Source organism: Homo sapiens, chromosome 18 (assembly GCF_000001405.40).
Source record: "Homo sapiens chromosome 18, GRCh38.p14 Primary Assembly".
Lineage (NCBI taxonomy): Eukaryota > Metazoa > Chordata > Mammalia > Primates > Hominidae > Homo > Homo sapiens.
Window position 1 is genome coordinate 34317348 of NC_000018.10, and position 20698 is coordinate 34338045.

The 20698-nt window shown below is 39.1% G+C and overlaps 1 long non-coding RNA gene across 1 annotated transcript in view, besides 1 other annotated feature; it reads right to left on the reverse strand.

The window, feature by feature from the left end:
* LOC124904280 (uncharacterized) overlaps positions 1 to 14202 on the reverse strand; it is a 62122-nt gene extending 47920 nt beyond the window's left edge. The window contains exon 1 of the long non-coding RNA XR_007066331.1: positions 13733 to 14202. This is a non-coding gene — a long non-coding RNA (uncharacterized LOC124904280). The remainder of the gene's footprint in view (positions 1 to 13732) is intronic.
* Positions 5067 to 5126: an enhancer, noted in NCBI's record as "active region_13214". NCBI's record gives its function as "activates an Ori minimal core promoter by ATAC-STARR-seq in GM12878 lymphoblastoid cells {active_cell/tissue: GM12878}" and the evidence as "EXISTENCE:reporter gene assay evidence [ECO:0000049][PMID:35858748]".
* Positions 14203 to 20698: the final 6496 nt, after the last annotated feature.

Sequence of the window (20698 nt, forward strand, 5' to 3'; positions counted from 1 at the left end):
ACAGAAGTATTAGACTAAGTGCTACATGATGTAAAGCTACTTCAACACTGTCCATTGTAAAGGCAAAGTGAATGTGGGAGGTGTTCTAGTGCTCTTTCTAATCAGTGGATTCTTCAAGCTACTGATTAGGGAGCTAAAAGAGGCACTTTTTACCCAGGAAAAGCTGGATTACTCTATGGCAGCAGCCACCGCTGCCCTGACCTGTAGTTCAGTTGCTCTAGGGCTTTGCAAAGGCCTATCCCAGCTGTATACAAAGATGGCCTTTTGAGAGCCAGAGACTATTTTAAAAATTAGATGTCCAAAGCTTGGTAATTTCTGACTTTAGATTTATATTTAGTTTTTGCTTTTATAAATAATTATATACAAAAGAAGAGATTTATTGCTTTCTTTTTAATACAGCATCACATTCATATGCACAGATGAAAATAACCTATAAAAAAAAACAAGTATCTGGCATTCTAGGTATGGAATGTCATTATTATCAAACAAGTACCTGAAATTCAATATTTTTGTTTTGGATGACAGAAAAAGAACTACGGTCAGTTTCAGAAATAAACATGAAAGCTGAGTTTTAGCAGAAGCCCACTTGAACAGATATCATATGCTAGAGAGAAGGACAACAGATCCTACAGTTCTATGTGTATAAGAAACACAAATAGACATCATTATCTCTGCCCCAGGGACTTAACCCCTTGGGGAAAAGACCAGTCTTCCAGGCTCCTTATCAAACTAAAATAATTTTGAAACACATTTTTCATTTCCTCCAGCACTGGTTTAAAAATGTTTGCAGATAGATACTGTTTGTTGTTGTTGTTTTTTTCTCCCTTCATTTTGTTTTCAGTGTTCATAAGGACAATTAAAACCCAGGCTGTAATAAGGCATCTGTTGTAAACAAGTTCAGACAAAGGAAGCAATTTCTGTGGCAAGTATGGGGCATAAGGAGACGTAAAGGGCTGCATTATAGAAAGCATAGATAATAACAGAAAATAAACCCTTTTCACCTCCAACCCACTCCACATACCGTGTGGATCTCATTGGCTAAAATTACAGCTTTGTAAGTTGTTTTTGGAATCATTAAATAGCAAAAATAGCAAATATATTGTTAATCTTTAAAATTTACATTAGAGATTCTGGCCACAACCTGTATTTCTCCATTCTAAATTAAGAGCTGATAGGATTTTCCTGTATTTCTCCAGTCTAAATTAAGAGCAAATAGGTATCTACTTACAGCATCAACAAGAATACACCCTGCTAGAGTCCCTTCCTTAGTGTGTGTGTGCACAATCACACACACATACACAGACATGCACACGAGACACACTGCGCTGAGTGCACAGACTTGTGCAAGGAGACACACATGCACACATGTGCACAGGTATGCACAAGTGCACACTCACATACATGCACAGAAATGTACCCACAGAGACACGCTTACGCACAGGCACATGCACCCACAAACACACACAATTCCCTGGCCAGTCACGGAGAGGAGGTATCTGTCTTTCCATGCTCCGTTTTAGGCTGCTGGGCTTCTGAGTTTGTGCTCATTTTCATTGCTGAAAATAATCATTTTCAGCCTAACTCGCCTCAGTGCCTCAGGGACAGTTCATTCCTATTGCTTCCTCTATATCCTTTTCCCACATTAGGCCCCAAAGCCAAATCTTTCCATTTCAAAGAAAAATCGCTGTTCACCAAACTGGACAGCATCTATATTTGCCCAGTTAGAAGATGCTGCTTTTCACATCTTTCACTGAAATACAGGACAGTGACACAGAGTTCTTAGAGTGTTCCTTTTCAGGAGACAGCTTAAGTGGTAACTTTCTGCCTCCCCGCTCCTACTGGAAAGCCAGTGGTGTGGTTATCAAAAAACTAAGTCTATTCCCTCACTACCCCTGGGCAGGGATTGTGTCTTATTCATCTTGCATCTACAGTGCCTAGCAAAGCGCCTGTCACGGAACAGAATCCAGTAAAGATCTCTTCAATAAATGCAATTTCAGCATTAGATCCTTCTCCCTCAATTTCTCAAATTTGTGCATGCATACTCACAGGGGTATGCCCTTGTGTGCCACGGAGCATGAGCAGTCACAAGATAAACACAGTATCTCTCCAGCTTCTTGGAAAATCCATTTATTTTCTAAGTCATGTTTAAAAGATTATTTTTCTATTAAAGCAAACATTGGATAAGGAGAATCTAATAAATGTCATGTTGGTAGTTGTGGTAAAGATCATGAGCTTTGAAGATAATTTTAAATTCTGTACCTACCACTGTTTAGTGATATGACCTCAAGTACCTTCTAAAAATTCTTCCAAGCATTTTTATTCTCAGTTGTAAAATGAAGACAATCATAACTGTTTTATAGAGACTTGGGGATTCAAATAAGAGAATATACACAATTGTAGTTAAGAGTGATACTGGAGACAGTCACCGTGGCACTAAATGTGATTGCAGCAGCATACTAATATTGGTAGTAGCCACAATAATGTTGAGATTAGCAGGGGCAATTGTAACAGCCACAGAAATAAATAGCAAAAGGAGTGAGTAAATAAGCAATTCAATGCACAAATAAATATGAAAAGTTAACCTAAAAGTAAGGGCACTAGCCTTTTAAGTCAGTAGACACCAAAGAGAATCGTTTAATCCTACTACTCGGTTTTACAGGTACAGACAAGGAAACTGAGGCTCAGAAAACTTAACAAAGTTACTCACCCAAGTTCATCATACTTACTGACAAAATCAAGACTAGAACCACTCCATTCCAGGTATAGGGGGTGTAGGCTACAGTATGATCTGTCATCTCTGAATATAATTATTATCCTTATGCAGCGGTAAAGATATATGCCCAGGCTCAAAAGTGGAGAATGGATGGTCATGCACACTGTAGCAAAATGAACCTGGACTATAGAGCCTGAGATTGAAAATCATCTCTGCCAGTTCCAAGATTTCTGACTGTGGCCAAGTTATTTAATCTCTCTGAAAATTGTTATCTATATGTGGGGTAAAGACGATACCATCTGCCTTGCAGGTTGATGAGAGAATTAGAGAAACTGTATCAAAGTGCCTTGTGACACGTAGTGGCAGACACTAAATGATAGCTTTTCTATATTTATCCATTTTCTTCATTGTCACTCATTTTTAATGTCTTTTCAAATACAGTTACCAATCCCATAGGAAAAATAATTATCATGCACAGGGTATATTCCAAACATGACAGGAGCTAGAGTTATAAAATACATTAGAAATTCATGGGGTTTATGGCCTCATCCTGATAGTCACTAGAGTTTCAATGATAATACTTGACTTTTCTAAGTGGTAAATTTCTTCACCACTACAGGAATTAATACAGGGGTGGGGTGAGGGTATAAAATAAATTGAAAATTTTAAAGACAGGGAATTTTCTTAAGAACAATAATAACTAGAAAGCAGACTAAACACTTGATATAGTTGTCTCATACTATTTTTATTTTGAATGTGGGTTTCTTTTTTCCTGTTTTAAAGGAATTCTCTCACATTCTGAAGAACATGATGTCATATTTGTCAACCAAGTTCTGACCTGGAAATAAAAAAAAATTATAGCTAAAAAGTGAATTACGGAATAACTGCACAGATCAGTTCTCTGTGCTCTATCTAGCTCATTCCTCACCATCACCAAAAAAAAAAAAAAAGGGAAAGGAGGCAGTATGATCACATAATAAAGGAAGATTATTTAAATCAAGAATAATGTTATTGAAAACTTACTAAATTATTGTTATTTTATTCATGTTCCCTGGGCCTGGTGACAAGCCCATTTGGAGCAGCACTGGCTGCTTGGAAGAGGCTAGCAGGGGAAAGTAGAAGGCGTTGGCCACAGCAATCAACCTCTGTGTGACCCTGAGCTGTTTCTGAACTCCTCACAGTCTCAGATACATTGAACCCATCTCTAAAGTCTGTTCCAGCTCTAACTTTATATCCTCTGACTCAGACCAATAGAGTGCCTAAGAACTAAAACCATAACCCTTCCTCAGGCAGAGTAAACCGGGGACCTCTCCTTAGCTTTGCTGTATGCTGGTATCAGAACAGGGGTAAGGGAATGAAGTTATGAGAAAGCCACTATTTTGAGATAGTATGCTGACCCCTGGGGTATCCACACCTACTCCCAGTCATTCAATCAAATGCAAATCTGGATTCGCTGTGAAGGGGTCTTGCAGTTCCACTGAAGGACCCATGCCAGTTAATTTTAAGAAACGGAGGGATTATCTGGGTGGGCCTGACCTAATCAGTCTCATTAGCCCTTTAAAAGCAGAGAGATTTTTTATTTTTCTCAAGCAGGCCACAGAGGAAGAAGTCAGAAACACATGTTCTTCTGGGCCTGGAAAGAAGCAACGCTATGCTGTGAATTTCCAATAGGAGCCACATGGCAAGAAATTGTGAGTGGCTTCTAGGAGCTGAAAGTGGCCCCTAGCTGACAGCAGGAAAATGTGGACCTCAGTCATAGGACCACAAGGAAATGAATCCTGGCAAAAACATTGAGCTTGAAAGCATCTTGATGTCAACGCTGTGATAATCTGAGCACAGAATTCCACCATGCCATTCCCAGACTTCTGATCTACGGAACTGTGAACTCATAAAAGGATATTTTTAAGCCATTAAGGTTATGGAAATTTGTAACATAACAGTAGAAATCTAATATACCTCTATGATTAGAGAAAATAGTAGATAATTTAATAGTTGTTTCTTATATTGAAAAATACTTCTTAGGCATTCTACTTATAATTTCCTCTTCATGTAGCTCAGCTGAAATGTCATTCTCATCCACAGTTTGAGATAGTACACTGGCCCCCGGTGTACACGTACCTTCTGTTAATTATGTACTATAAATCACCAGGTCAGCCTTTCTCCAGGTAGGCAGAACTGGACCTTTCTCTACCTTAAGGCAATTTCCCTCAAGGGAAAAACAGAGGATCCCAGGAGGCAAAACACAAAACAAGACGCTGCTATTTCAGAGCATTCTCTACCCCAGGACTGTTTGCTTTGTGGAGATTGGGAGTCTAAATTTAAATGGCCTCATACAAGAACTCTACCCATTAAACTTTGTTTTTCTTTATCGCAGTAGTACATTTTATTTCAAGATGGCTACAGCAAGTGAGCAAGCTGTTGGTCAGGAAGCTGGGGTGTGCTGAAAATTCCCCGGTGATTCATTTATAGAGAGAATGACAAGAGTTCTGAATGGACAAGAGGGGAACGGTGGCCACAAGAAAGCTCTGGGAGTATCATTAAACCAGTTTCCTTATTGTTCAGAACCGGACAGGTTCCACCTGGTCTTCACTCTTGGGTCCAGGTGGCTCCAACTGCATGAACCAAAATAAAGGGCATCTGCAGGTTTTCCAGAGGGAGAATGACGCAGAGAGGAGGTAGAGAAAACATTAAAAAGAATATTTATTTTCTAGGACCATGGAAAGCTGAGTAGTGAATTTTATTTTTAACTTCATTTTTTGATCAACCCTTTTCTTGAAAAGAAAACGCTAGCGATTTCACTTAAGGCACAACCAGAGCGCCACCATGTGGTGCAGTCTTTATGGACGCACGCGGGCTTAGAGTGGGTTTGCAGACTGAGAAAGTATTGCAAGAAAAAAATTGTACATCGTGACAAAAGCCAGAAAACTTAATAATAAAGATCATGCGTGTTTTCGAAAGTTTGGTGATAGCCTTGTTTTTTTTATCATCGTATTTCTAGAAGGTATGACAATGACTCTCACATTTAAAACTGTGTAAGGTTATCACTGGTGTCATTTTTAAAGTGAAGTTATTTTGTTTAATTGCCTTATTTAAAAAAACAGAACCGAGCTAACACTAGCACACAGGAACAGAAAAGTATATGCTCTGCTTCATGAATACTCACATTTTTTTGCAAATTCCTCATAGAGATCAGCTGGTATTAGTGGATTTCTAGATTATTTGTTTGGTTGTGAGGTTGCTGTTTGTGAGCAGATAGAAAAAAGGTGATCTCATTCATCAATTCGAATAATGAGTTCAATCATGTTGTGTCCTTGTAACACTCTGCTTTAGGTTAAAATTCTGGAAGAGAGTGCGTGATTAGCTTTTCTTGATCTTCTGACCAACCTTTGTCCAGGGGCCCTGACTTACAGTCTGGCCAAGACTACATGCAATGAAGGGTAGTTCACAAAATCAAAAGTAGGCTTAGAATAGCAAGGAGGTAGGCAAAAGCCAGCATATGACAAGTGTGCTTTGTGTCATTTCAGGGACTAGTTTATCCCTAGATATCACTAGGCACCAAACGTATGGCACACATACATGTCCTAACTCCCAGTGTCTGCTTACTGAATGATGCAGAGCATCCTGAGCTGCCTGAGATCTTCTGGTCCATGGACATTCTGCCACTATGGGCTCCTGATCAAAGTTTAATCTCAGAGTCACTGAGGTCACCTGCCACTATATTATAAGCTTCCCAGAAGCTCACACAGTATCTGCTTTCACTGTATCTTAGGTCCATTTCTGGCCCGAAGATATTTGTGTTTTGTTTTTATGCTGCATATTCAGGTATTTCAATGGGAAACTACCTAAAAAGGACCTGAAACCTTCTGGACACCTTGGTGAAATGATTTTTCTCTTCTGCAAGGAGATTAAGTCATCATTAATGCTGTCACTGTTGCTTTTGTGCAGTGTGCTGTCTTTGTGTCCTTGCTAAGAAAGAGCTTGCTTGTGATGAAAAAGACCCATATCGTGTCTGAAGATTCCTTACTCTTTCAAATTTTGCTTTAGAAATTACAATGTGTTTAAATATTCTTTGCCAAAATATGTCCCTTTCTTCGAGGACTTATGACTGCTTTTTTTTTCAGTTATTTTACAGTATATATATATATGAGGCAGAAGTTTTGATCAGTGCCCCAAATCAATGAAAAAAAAAGTTGTTATAAAATGTCACCTTGGCCTCTTAATTTGTCACCTGTATGAAAATTATAAAGGAGGTCAGAACATTTCTTCCCCACATTTTTCTGCCTTCCCAGCAATTACCCAGTTGTACCCCTCAAGAAACTTCTTATTTACAGGCCTGCAGTAATCCCTACTGCAGGTGCCTTCATGGCTGTTTCTTGATATTGCATGATTGCTAGTTCATTGTAATAAAAGAATATCTTCTGGCCTGAGAGAGAGAGAGAGAGAGAAAGAGAAAGCCAGACTTGCCAGGAGAACTGGAAGTCTTCTGACTCAGGCCATGGCTTTTCTCATAGATGACTTTGTTTCTCCACAATTGTGATCTTTTCTCTCACTGATGTCTAAATGACATTACTCTTATGTTAGAAAATACTGAAAAAGAGATTATTAAAATATCTAATCAGCTCGTTATAATAATACATCTATGCTATTCGGTAGCTTTAAAACCTCTTTACAAACAGTTGGTGGTAGGTTCAGACAATTTCTGAGCAGAAGAAGCTTCTATTCTCTTAGTATCACATGCTTAATAGTTGATGTTGAAACATTCTTTGTCTTGGAGGATTATTTTTTAAACTGTCTTAGTGATGAAATATCAAATTATAAAATATACTGAGCTACAGGGTGATTTTTCATTTTTGTACTTGACTTATTTTAGCATTTCACCTAAGTGCTGCTTTTTCCAGCAGCTTTTTTCCCCAATTTCTATAGAAATGTCATTAGAAGGAGTAATTTTCCCAAATGCCCTATTATTTCTAGGTGAGCAACAAAAGTAAATTGTCTGCTGAAGACAAAGTAGGCTGAGAGGATATATCACTGATACATGTGCATGCTGCCTTTGTCAGGTTCTTGGTACTTGCTGTGTGGAAAAAAGAGTACACAAAAAAAGTTATAATGTGTTTTTAACAATGTAGCCACAGCCTGGTGGCTCACACCTGTAATCCCAGCACTTTTGGAGGCCAAGGCAGGAGGATCACTTAAGGTCAGGAGTTCGAGACCAGCCTGGCCAACATAGCAAAACCCTGTCTCTACTAAAAATACAAAAATTAACTGGGATTGGTGGTGCGTGCCTGTAATCCCAGCTAGTCGGGAGGCTGAGGCAGGAGAATCCCTTGAACCCAGGAGGCGGAGGTTGCAGTGAGCCGAGATCACGCCACCGCACTCCAGCCTGGGAGACAGGGCAAGACTCTGTCTTAAAAAAAAAAAAAAAAAAAAAAAAAAAAAAAAAAAAAAAGAAAGGAAAAAAGAAAAGAAAATGTAGCCACTGCTAGCCATTAAAAACGCTGAAATAAGAATCTTTATTCACTTTGTGTTTTTTTCTTCTAACAGACTTTCTTCTACCACTGACTTTGGAAGATGAACACGTTGATTTATACAGATTTTAGAGGACAGAAGCTCATTTTGTAACTCCCTGCAGGGTAAAAACCTACTTCTTACTTTGGCATATGAGACTTTACCAAATGTAGCCTTAATCATTTATGTGCAGCTCATTTGCAGCATTCCTTATTCTGGCTATATTCAGTTGCTATTATCCAGGGATACAGACACTCTCTTGCTAGTGAACTTTTATCATACTGTCCCTTGTGCCTGAAATACATTGATCTTACTCATCCTTCCTGATCAAGATTAGGGGTCAGCAAACTGTGACCATGGATCACATCTGACCTGCCACTCTACCTCTTTTTGCAAATAAAGATTTATTAGAACACAGCCATGCTCATTTATTCCTATATTGTCTATTACAGCTTTTGCACTATGACTGCAGAGTTGAATACGTACAGCAGAGACTAGCCACAGAGCCTAAAATATTTCCTATCTGACACTTCACAAAAAAAGTTTGCTGATATCTGGTCTATATCAACATTATTTTTCTGGTGAAGTAGTCACTCCATCCAAGTCTCCTAGTCAACTTATCATTTCTATAATCCTAGAGCATTCTTCACAAGCCACTAAAGAGTAACTAGCATTGTTAGAAAATGTGTTTATTCTATACTATAAGGCAATAGTAACCAAAACAGCATGGTACTGGTACAAAAACAGACACATAGATCAATGGAATAGGTTAGAGAATCCAGAAATAAAGCTACACACCTACGACCATCTGATCTTTGATAATGTCAACAATAACAAGCAATGAGGAAAGAACTCCCTATTCAATAAATGGTGCTGGGATAACTGGCTAGCCAGATGCAAAAGAATGAAACTAGACCACTACCTTTCACAATATGCAAAAATTAACTCAAGATTGATTAATGACTTAAACATAAAATCTAAAACTATAAAAACCCTAGAAGAAAATCTAGGAAATATTATTCAGCACATAGGCTTTGGCAAAGATGTTATGATGAGGATTACCAAAGCGATTGCAACAAAACAAAAATTGATAAATGGGACCGACCTGATTAAACCAAAGAGCCTCTGCACAGCAAAATAAACCATCAACAGAGTAAAGAGACAGCCTACAAAATGCAAGAAAATTTTCACAAACTATGCATCTGAAAAAGGCCCAATATCCAGCATCTATAAGGAACTTAAATAATTGAACAAGTGAAAAACAAATAACCCCATTAAAAATGGGCAAAAGACATGAACAGACACTTCTAAAAAGAAGACATACAAGTAGCCAACAAATATATGAAAAAATGTTCATCATCACTAATCATCAGAGAAATGTAAATGAAAACCACAATGAGATATCAACAGTAAAATAACAACATATATTGGCAAGGCTGCAGAGAAAAAGGAATGCTAATACACTGTTGGTCGGAATGCAAATTAATTCAGCTACTGTGAAAAGCAGATTGGAGATTTCTCACAGATCTTAAAACAGAACTACCATTCAACCCAGGAATCCCAATACTTGGTATATACCCAAAAGAATATAAATAATTATACCATGAAGACACATGCACATGTACGTTCATTATAGCACTTTTCACAATACCAAAGACATGGAATCAACCTACCTGCTCATCAGTGGTAGACAAGGTAAAGAAAATGTGATACATACATACTGTGGAACACTACACAGTGATAAAAAAGAATGAAATCATGTCCTTTGCAGCAACACAAATGCAGCCGGAGGCCATTATCCCAAGTAAATTAACACTGGAACAGAAAACCAAATGCTGCACGTTCTTACTTTTAAATGGGTGCTAAGCATTGAGTACCCAGGGAAACAAAGAAGGGAACAATAGATATGAGAACTTACCTGAGAGTGGAGGGTGGGAGGAGAATAAAGACCAAAAAACTACCTATTGGGTACTATGTTCATTACCTGGGTGACAAAATCATTTGTACACTGAACTCCAGCAACACACAATTTACTGATGTAATAAGCCTGCACAGATACCCTCTGAGTCTAAAGTAATAATTAGAAAAAAAAAAAGAAAATTTGTTTATGAGCCTATCCATCCCAAAGCAACTTTTCATTTCCTGTAGATCAGGACTATTTTATTTTATTTGTTGCTACATGACCAGTTCCAAGAACAATGACAGAATAGAGAAAGTGCTCAGGCAATGTTTGTGGAATAGTGAATAAAGTATTTGAGAAACCAACTAAAACCCAAACAGGAGGAAATGACAAGTAAAATAAAATATTTTCCACATTTTTTTTCACTGGATATGTTACTTATTATAGTTTTATAAGAATTAGATATTTCTTTGGGGATAAATTGTCTTCTGGTTTAGATAACTTCCATAAAGTAAAATCAAATGGTGCTATAGTCCCATTTGACTAGATATGTCAAGATGACTATTTCTAGGCAGTTCAGTGTATAAGGGTAGCTATAAAATATTGGTGCTGATATTTTAAAGTGGCATCAAACACATGAACGGGAAAATTTTTTCCAGTCTTTGGCACATGCATTTATGTCTCCGATGGTGGTAAATCTTCAGTCTTGGGGTAAGGGATGAATGGATTTAGTTTTTTAAAAGTTCCGTAGTCATCTGGTGACACATGTTATGAATAAGGTAGGTGATAAAGTTGAGAAATTTTTTTAATCTAACAAGGAATATTCTTATGAAGCAACAAGAATGATGTTTTGTGTATATCTGAAATTGGCTCATTCAACAAACAACAATTGAGTTCTTATTGTATAAGAAGTGTTCAGAAGGCAATTCCAAATGAGGCCTTCCCCAAATGTTTGAAGAACATAAGAGTATATGTAAGGCCCAGCACACATGTGATGAGTAATTACAAATGAAGATGAGCCAGACAGACTCAGATATGAGTGGAGGACTGATGAAAACTCCTACTTAGATCTTCATACCAAAATTGGGCAAGAGAGCATTGGCCCTTATCACTTGAGAAGGAGCAGTGTCTTCCTCCTTTGTTGGGTCAGTCAAAAGAGCACAGGTGGACAATGCTAGGCTGGTATGTGGGAGTCAGAAATAGAACACATAGGACGAAGGGGCAAAATCGAGGCTAACAGCAGATTTGAGGGTCAAGTTGGAAAAGTTGAAGTAGAATTCGATCTCAGAGGCAAGTGTTAGGCAGGAAAGCCAGAGGTCAAGAGCTGAGTGAATACAAATGAAGCAGGACAGGGGACAAGAATGAGATGAAGGGTCGGGCATGGTGGCTTATGCCTGTAATCCCAGCACTTTGGGAGGCCAAGGAAGGCAGATCACAAGGTCAAGAGATCGAGACCATCCTGGCCAACATGGTGAAACCCCGTCTCTACTGAAAACATAGAAATTAGCTGGGCGTAGTGGCACCCACCTGTAGTCCCAGCTACTCGGGAAGCTGAGGCAGGAGACTGTCTTGAACCCGGGAGGCGGAGTTTGCAGTAAGCCGAGATCGCACCACTGCACTGTAGCCTGGTGACGACAGAGCAAGACACCGTCTCAAAATAAAAGAAAAGAATGAGATGAAGGAACAGGGTCCAAAACTTTGATTATGAGCATCACCTGGGCTCCTAGAGTCCCCTTGTATTGGATGTTGACAAAGTAGAGGGTATGGGGTCCACATGGGCTAAAGGCACAAGGTCAAAGCAAACATAAAGAAACTCTGTGAAACTCTGTGTTCAGATTGGAGGAAACAACTAAAGGAAAATGTCAAGATAATCACTCTTTTTTTTTTTTTTTTTGAGACGGAGTCTCGCTCTGTTGCCCAGACTGGAGTGCAGTGGCACGATCTCGGCTCACTGCAAGCTCCGCCTCCCGGGTTCACGCCATTCTCCTGCCTCAGCCTCCCCAGTAGCTGGGACTACAGGCGCCCGCCACCGCGCCCAGCTAATTTTTTAAATGTATTTTTAGTAGAGACGGGGTTTCACCGTGTTAGCCAGGATGGTCTCGATCTCCTGACCAATAGCAACCTGCTACTTCTATTTTTTCATGTTGAAAAATTATTTACAAATATATGTTTAGTCTACTTCCTAGGACACAGTCTTTAAAAATTAGTAAATACAAAATGCTTCCACAGGAAACTTCTTCCCTGACATTTCCTCATCTGTCGTCTTTCTTTCTTCCAACCCTCAGAAAAATCCTATCAGATACAGATGAGAAGCCTCTGTCAGGAGGCACTCCCTTTATGACCCGAATATTTATAGTCTCAGACCCTGTAAGACACATAACTCCTCTACTAACCCACAGAAGGTGAGGTCTCCCTTAAAAATTAAAAAATGCCTCAGAGGCACAAACCACTGTTTCATTTTTTTATTTTGTCGTACTGGAGGTTATATTCACCTGCAAATGAGGTACAAAGAGCCAAAATCTTTAATCAGAATCAAAGATCTGTGCTTACTAGTTACCTTTGTACTGACAAGGAGTTTCACACAAATAGAACTGCAATAATGTTTATTTTCCTGGCAGCCAAAACCATAATGCTCTTACAGATATTCAACTGTCTGTAACATTCTTGAAGAGTAAGAAAGGACAAAAATGACTAGGCAGCCAACAAGGTGAGCAAAGCATTCAGGATTTTATATGTGGAAATATCTAATTTTTAAACACCATGGGTCATCTTAAGCCCCAGATGGCTTGTAAGGTAGGCAGGAATATGCCTAGTCTGATTTTTTAAAAGGCCTACTTTACAAACTGGAAACTTTTTATACCACCCCCTTCCTGACCTGGCCTGAGGAAGAACTAGACTTCAGCACTATCCTGAACGAATTAATCTCTAAAACAATAATTGCTAGGACAGGAACTTGAGCAGACATCTGGAGATAGGTTTCCAAGCTGGGCGAATTATCACATTCCCCTGGGAGCTATCAAAGAGTACAGAAATAAAGGGAGCAAATCTGCAGGCTCCATCCCTAGAGAATGATTCATAAACCTGGGGTGTGGCTAAGACTTTTCATATTAAAGGACTCCCCAGGTGACAGTGAAGATCAGCCAGGTTTAGGAACCACTGGTTGATTGTATTTTCCTTGCACCAGGAAAGGGCACCCCTAAATCACCCTCCACGAAAAAAATTAAAAAAACAAAAACAAAAACTTTTTCTTTAAAGACAAAATTTCCTAATTTCTTCATGTAAAATATAATCAAACTGTAAAGCCCATTTGGAAATAATCGACACATCTAGAGTCTATTTAAATAGCTACATTTAGATTAAGATTTCCCTTTACAAAGTAATTCGTTTGTGAAATTACACACATGTTCTCTCTTTTACTGTTATTGTACTGCATTTTGGAAGGCATAAATAAAATATAGCCAAGTACAAAGATAAAAATCTACTGGCCCAAAACAGAATATACTGGCTTATTTTTATATTTGCATCAGGTCTTTTTTGTTATTGTCAGTTTGCTTTAGAAAATAAAACTGGAGTAAAAATTAAACCCATCCATTTCTTTCACCACTTCTACCTACCATCTCTCCTTCTCTCCAGTTCAATAAACACTATCCGGAGGAGCCAAGATGGCCGAATAGGAACAGCTCTGGTCTACAGCTCCCAGCGTGAGCGACGCAGAAGACGGGTGATTTCTGCATTTTCATCTGAGGTACCGGGTTCATCTCACTAGGGAGTGCCAGACAGTGGGTGCAGGTCAGTGGGTGCGCGCACCGTGTGCGAGCCGAAGCAGGGCAAGGCACTGCCTCACTTGGGAAGCGCAAGGGGTCAGGGAGTTCCCTTTCTGAGTCAAAGAAAGGGGTGACAGACAGCACCTGGAAAATCGGGTCACTCCCACCCAAATACTGCGCTTTTCCGACGGGCTTAAAAAACGGCGCACCACGAGATTATATTCTGCACCTGGCTCGGAGGGTCCTACGCCCACGGAGTCTCGCTGATTGCTAGCACAGCAGTCTGAGATCAAACTGCAAGGCGGCAGGGAGGAGCGCCCGCCACTGCCCAGGCTTGATTAGGTAAACAAAGCAGCCGGGAAGCTAGAACTGGGTGGAGCCCACCACAGCTCAAGGAGGCCTGCCTGCCTCTATAGGCTCCACCTCTGGGGGCAGGGCACAGACAAACAAAAAGACAGCAGTAACTTTTGCAGACTTAAATGTCCCTGTCTGACAGCTTTGAAGAGAGCAGTGGTTCTCCCAGCAAGCAGCTGGAGATCTGAGAACGGGCAGACTGTCTCCTCAAATGGGTCCCTGACCCCTGAGCCCCGAGCAGCCTAACTGGGAGGCACCCCCAGCAGGGGCACACTGACACCTCACACCAGCAGGGTATTCCAACAGACCTGCAGCTGAGGGTCCTGTCTGTTAGAAGGAAAACTAACAAACAGAAAGGACATCCACACCAAAAACCCATCTGTACATCACCATCATCAAAGACCAAAAGTAGATAAAACCACAAAGATGGGGAAAAAACAGAACAGAAAAACGGGAAACTCTAAAAAGCAGAGCACCTCTCCTCCTCCAAAGGAACGCAGTTCCTCACCAGCAACGGAACAAAGCTGGATGGAGAATGACTTTGACGAGCTGAGAGAAGAAGGCTTCAGACGATCAAATTACTCTGAGCTACGGGAGGACATTCAAACCAAAGGCAAAGAAGTTGAAAACTTTGAAAAAAATTTAGAAGAATGTATAACTAGAATAACCAATACAGAGAAGTGCTTAAAGGAGCTGATGGAGCTGAAAACCAAGGCTCGAGAACTACGTGAAGAAAGCAGAAGCCTCAGGAGCCGATGCGATCAAATGGAAGAAAGGGTATCAGCAATGGAAGATGAAATGAATGAAATGAAGCGAGAAGGGAAGTTGAGAGAAAAAAGAATAAAAAGAAATGAGCAAAGCCTCCAAGAAATATGGGACTATGTGAAAAGACCAAATCTACGTCTGATTGGTGTACCTGAAAGTGATGGGGAGAATGGAACCAAGTTGGAAAATACGCTGCAGTATATTATCCAGGAGAACTTCCCCAATCTAGCAAGGCAGGCCAACGTTCAGATTCAGGAAATACAGAGAATGCCACAAAGATACTCCTCGAGAAGAGCAACTCCAAGACACATAATTGTCAGATTCACCAAAGTTGAAATGAAGGAAAAAATGTTAAGGGCAGCCAGAGAGAAAGGTCGGGTTACCCTCAAAGGGAAGCCCATCAGACTAACAGCGGATCTCTTGGCAGAAACCCTACAAGCCAGAAGAGAGTGGGGGCCAATATTCAACATTCTTAAAGAAAAGAATTTTCAACCCAGAATTTCATATCCAGCCAAACTAAGCTTCATAAGCAAAGGAGAAATAAAATACTTTACAGACAAGCAAATGCTGACAGATTTTGTCACCACCCAGCCTGCCCTAAAAGAGCTCCTGAAGGAAGCGCTAAATATGGAAAGGAACAACCGGTACCAGCCACTGCAAAATCATGCCAAAATGTAAAGACCATCGAAACTAGGAAGAAACTGCATCAACTAACGAGCAAAATAACCAGCTAACATCATAATGACAGGATCAAATTCACACATAGCAATATTAACTTTAAATGTAAATGGACTAAATTCTCCAATTAAAAGACACAGACTGACAAATTGGATAAAGAGTCAAGACCCATCAGTGTGCTGTATTCAGGAAACCCATCTCACGTGCAGAGACACATATAGGCTCAAAATAAAAGGATGGAGGAAGATCTACCAAGCAAATGGAAAACAAAAAAAGGCAGGGGTTGCAATCCTAGTCTCGGATAAAACAGACTTTAAACCAACAAAGATCAAAAGAGACAAGGAAGGCCATTACATAATGGTAAAGGGATCAATTCAACAAAAAGAGCTAACTATCCTAAATATATATGCACCCAATACAGGAGCACCAAGATTCATAAAGCAAGTCCTGAGTGACCTACAAAGAGACTTAGACTCCCACACATTAATAATGGGAGACTTTAACACCCCACTGTCAACATTAGACAGATCAACGAGACAGAAAGTCAACAAGGATACCCAGGAATTGAACTCAGCTCTGCACCAAGTGGACCTAATAGACATCTACAGAACTCTCCACCCCAAATCAATAGAATATACATTTTTTTCAGCACCACACCACACCTATTCCAAAATTGACCACATACTTGGAAGTAAAGCTCTCCTCAGCAAATGTAAAAGAACAGAGATAATAACAAACTATCTCTCAGACCACAGTGGAATCAAACTAGAATTCAGGATTAAGAATCTCACTCAAAACCGCTCAACTACCTGGAAACTGAACAACCTGCTCCTGAATGACTACTGGGTACATAACAAAATGAAGGCAGAAATAAAGATGTTCTTTGAAACCAACGAGAACAAAGACACAACATGCCAGAATCTCTGGGACACATTCAAAGCAGTGTGTAGAGGGAAATTTATAGCACTAAATGCCCACAAGAGAAAGCAGGAAAGATCCAAAATTGACACCCTAACATCACAATTAAAAGAACTAGAAAAGCAAGAGCAAACACATTCAAAAGCTAGCAGAAGGCAAGAAATAACTAAAATCAGAGCAGAACTGAAGGAAATAGAGACACAAAAAACCCTTCAAAAAATTAATGAATCCAGGAGCTGGTTTTTTGAAAGGATCAACAAAATTGATAGACCGCTAGCAAGACTAATAAAGACAAAAAGAGAGAAGAATCAAATAGATGCAATAAAAAATGATAAAGGGGATATCACCACCGATCCCACAGAAATACAAACTACCATCAGAGAATACTACAAACACCTCTACGCAAATAAACTAGAAAATCTAGAAGAAATGGATAAATTCCTCGACACATACACTTTCCCAAGACTAAACCAGGAAGAAGTTGAATCTCTGAATAGACCAATAACAGGAGCTGAAATTGTGGCAATAATCAATAGCTTACCAACCAAAAAGAGTCCAGGACCAGATGGATTCACAGCCGAATTCTACCAGAGGTACAAGGAGGAACTGGTACCATTCCTTCGGAAACTATTCCAATCAATAGAGAAAGAGGGACTCCTCCCTAACTCATTTTATGAGGCCAGCATCATTCTGATACCAAAGCCAGGCAGAGACACAACAAAAAAAGAGAATTTTAGACCAATATCCTTGATGAACATTGATGCAAAAATCCTCAATAAAATACTGGCAAAACGAATCCAGCAGCACATCCAAAAGCTTATCCACCATGATCAACTGGGCCTCATCCCTGGGATGCAAGGCTGGTTCAATATACGCAAATCAATAAATGTAATCCAGCATATAAACAGAGCCAAAGACAAAAACCACATGATTATCTCAATAGATGCAGAAAAGGCCTTTGACAAAATTCAACAATCATTCATGCTAAAAACTCTCAATAAATTAGGTATTGATGGGACGTATTTCAAAATAATAAGAGCTATGTATGACAAACCCACAGCCAATATCATACTGAATGGGCAAAAACTGGAAGCATTCCCTTTGAAAACTGGCACAAGACAGGGATGCCCTTTCTCACCACTCCTATTCAACATAGTGTTGGAAGTTCTGGCCAGGGCAATTAGGCAGGAGAAGGAAATAAAGGGTATTCAATTAGGAAAAGAGGAAGTCAAATTGTCCCTGTTTGCAGATGACATGACTGTAAATCTAGAAAACCCCATTGTCTCAGCCCAAAATCTCCTTAAGCTGATAAGCAACTTCAGCAAAGTCTCAGGATACAAAATCAATGTACAAAAATCACAAGCATTCTTATACACCAACAATAGACAAACAGAGAGCCAAATCATGAGTGAACTCCCATTCACAATTGCTTCAAAGAGAATAAAATACTTAGAAATCCAACTTACAAGGGATGTGAAGGACCTCTTCAAGGAGAACTACAAACCACTGCTCAATGAAATAAAAGAGGATACAAACAAATGGAAGAACATTCCATGCTCATGGGTAGGAAGAATCAATATCGTGAAAATGGCCATACTGCCCAAAGTAATTTACAGATTCAATGCCATCCCCATCAAGCTACCAATGCCTTTCTTCACAGAACTGGAAAAAACTACTTTAAAGTTCATATGGAACCAAAAAAGAGCCCGCATCGCCAAGTCAATCCTAAGCCAAAAGAACAAAGCTGGAGGCGTCACACTACCTGACTTCAAACTATACTACAAGGCTACAGTAACCAAAACAGCATGGTACTGGTACCAAAACAGAGATATAGATCAATGGAACAGAACACAGCCCTCAGAAGTAACACCGCATATCTACAACTATCTGATCTTTCACAAACCTGAGAAAAACAAGCAATGGGGAAAGGAGTCCCTATTTAATAAATGGTGCTGGGAAAACTGGCTAGCCATATGGAGAAAGCTGAAACTGGATCCCTTCCTTATACCTTATACAAAAATCAATTCAAGATGGATTAAAGACTTAAATGTTAGACCTAAAACCATAAAAACCCTAGAAGAAAACCTAGGCATTACCATTCAGGACATAGGCATGGGCAAGGACTTCATGTCCAAAACACCAAAAGCAATGGCAACAAAAGACAAAATTGACAAATGGGATCTAATTAAACTAAAGAGCTTCTGCACAGCAAAAGAAACTACCATCAGAGTGAACAGGCAACCTACAAAATGGGAGAAAATTTTCACAACCTACTCATCTGACAAAGGGCTAATATCCAGAATCTACAATGAACTCAAACAAATTTACAAGAAAAAAAACAAACAACCCCATCAAAAAGTGGGCAAAGGACATGAACAGACACTTCTCAAAAGAAGACATTTATGCAGCCAAAAAACACATGAAAAAATGCTCATCATCACTGGCCATCAGAGAAATGCAAATCAAAACCACAATGAGATACCATCTCACACCAGTTAGAATGGCAATCATTAAAAAGTCAGGAAACAACAGGTGCTGGAGAAGATGTGGAGCAATAGGAACACTTTTACACCGTTGGTGGGACTGTAAACTAGTTCAACCATTGTGGAAGTCAGTGTGGCGATTCCTCAGGGATCTAGAACTAGAAATACCATTTGACCCAGCCATCCCATTACTGGGTATATACCCAAAGGACTATAAATCATGCTGCTACAAAGACACATGCACACGTATGTTTATTGTGGCATTATTCACAATAGCAAAGACTTGGAACCAACCCAAATGTCCAACAATGATAGACTGGATTAAGAAAATGTGGCACATATACACCATGGAATACTATGCAGCCATAAAAAATTATGAGTTCATGTCCTTTGTAGGGACATGGATGAAATTGGAAATCATCATTCTCCGTAAACTATCACAAGAACAAAAAACCAAACACCGCATATTCTCACTCGCAGGTGGGAATTGAACAATGAGATCACATGTACACAGGAAGGGGAATATCACACTCTGGGGACTGTTGTGGGGTGGGGGGAGGGGGGAGGGATAGCATTGGGAGATATACCTAATGCTAGATGACGAGTTAGTGGGTGCAGCGCACCAGCATGGCACATGTATACATATGTAACTAACCTGCACAATGTGCACATGTACCCTAAAACTTAAAAGTATAGTAATAAAAAAAAAGAAAAAAAAAAGAAAAAGAAAAATATTACTAAGTTAAAAAAAAACACTATCATAGATTTTCTCTGTAGTTTAAATGTTTATTTTCTACCACACACGTGTATCCATTAACCATATGCACATATTAATTATTTTTTAACTTATGCAAATGGCATTATATTGTATTTAACACTTTGAAACTTCATTTTTTCTTTCAACATTGCATTTTCAACATCTATCCATGTTGAAAAATATACTACATTAAATTATTTTAAGTGCTGTATGAACATTCCATCATATAAATACAGCACCACAATATAGCAAACCATTCCATTAATGGTAGATATTTGAACTTTTCAAAAACATTTACCTTCAGAAAAAATGTTGCTAGAGTGTCCATATATTTCCTTATTAATGCACATACACAAGAATTTCTGTAGGTATTTTAGTTCAACTGCAAAGTTATAAGATATGTACATTTTCAAATTTACTTGAAAATATCTAATTTCTTCCAAAGTACTTATGAAAATTTTAATCAGCAGTGTATGACCGGTGTTTAGTTTCCCAGTTTTGCTAACATTGGCATTTGCAATTGTGTCAATATGATGGTGTCTTAGTGTCGTTTTAATGACATCTCCTCAAATGCTTATGACATTGGATGCATTTTTATGAAATTATGTATTCAACATTCCTTAATACATTTATTTTCTGAACAAAAGTTTTTCCCTCAGAGGAATGTCTTGATCTGCTTGTCTTCCTCATTTTTAGTACCTATTCACTTGATTGTTTATATATATTATCAACAACAATGGACTCATACAGTAAAAAATTCTATCAGGATGAGAGGATTCTGAAAACAATTAAATGAAAATACCAAAAGCACCTTAAAATCTTCTGTAAATATTTATTGAACACTTACTAAATGGCAGTAGA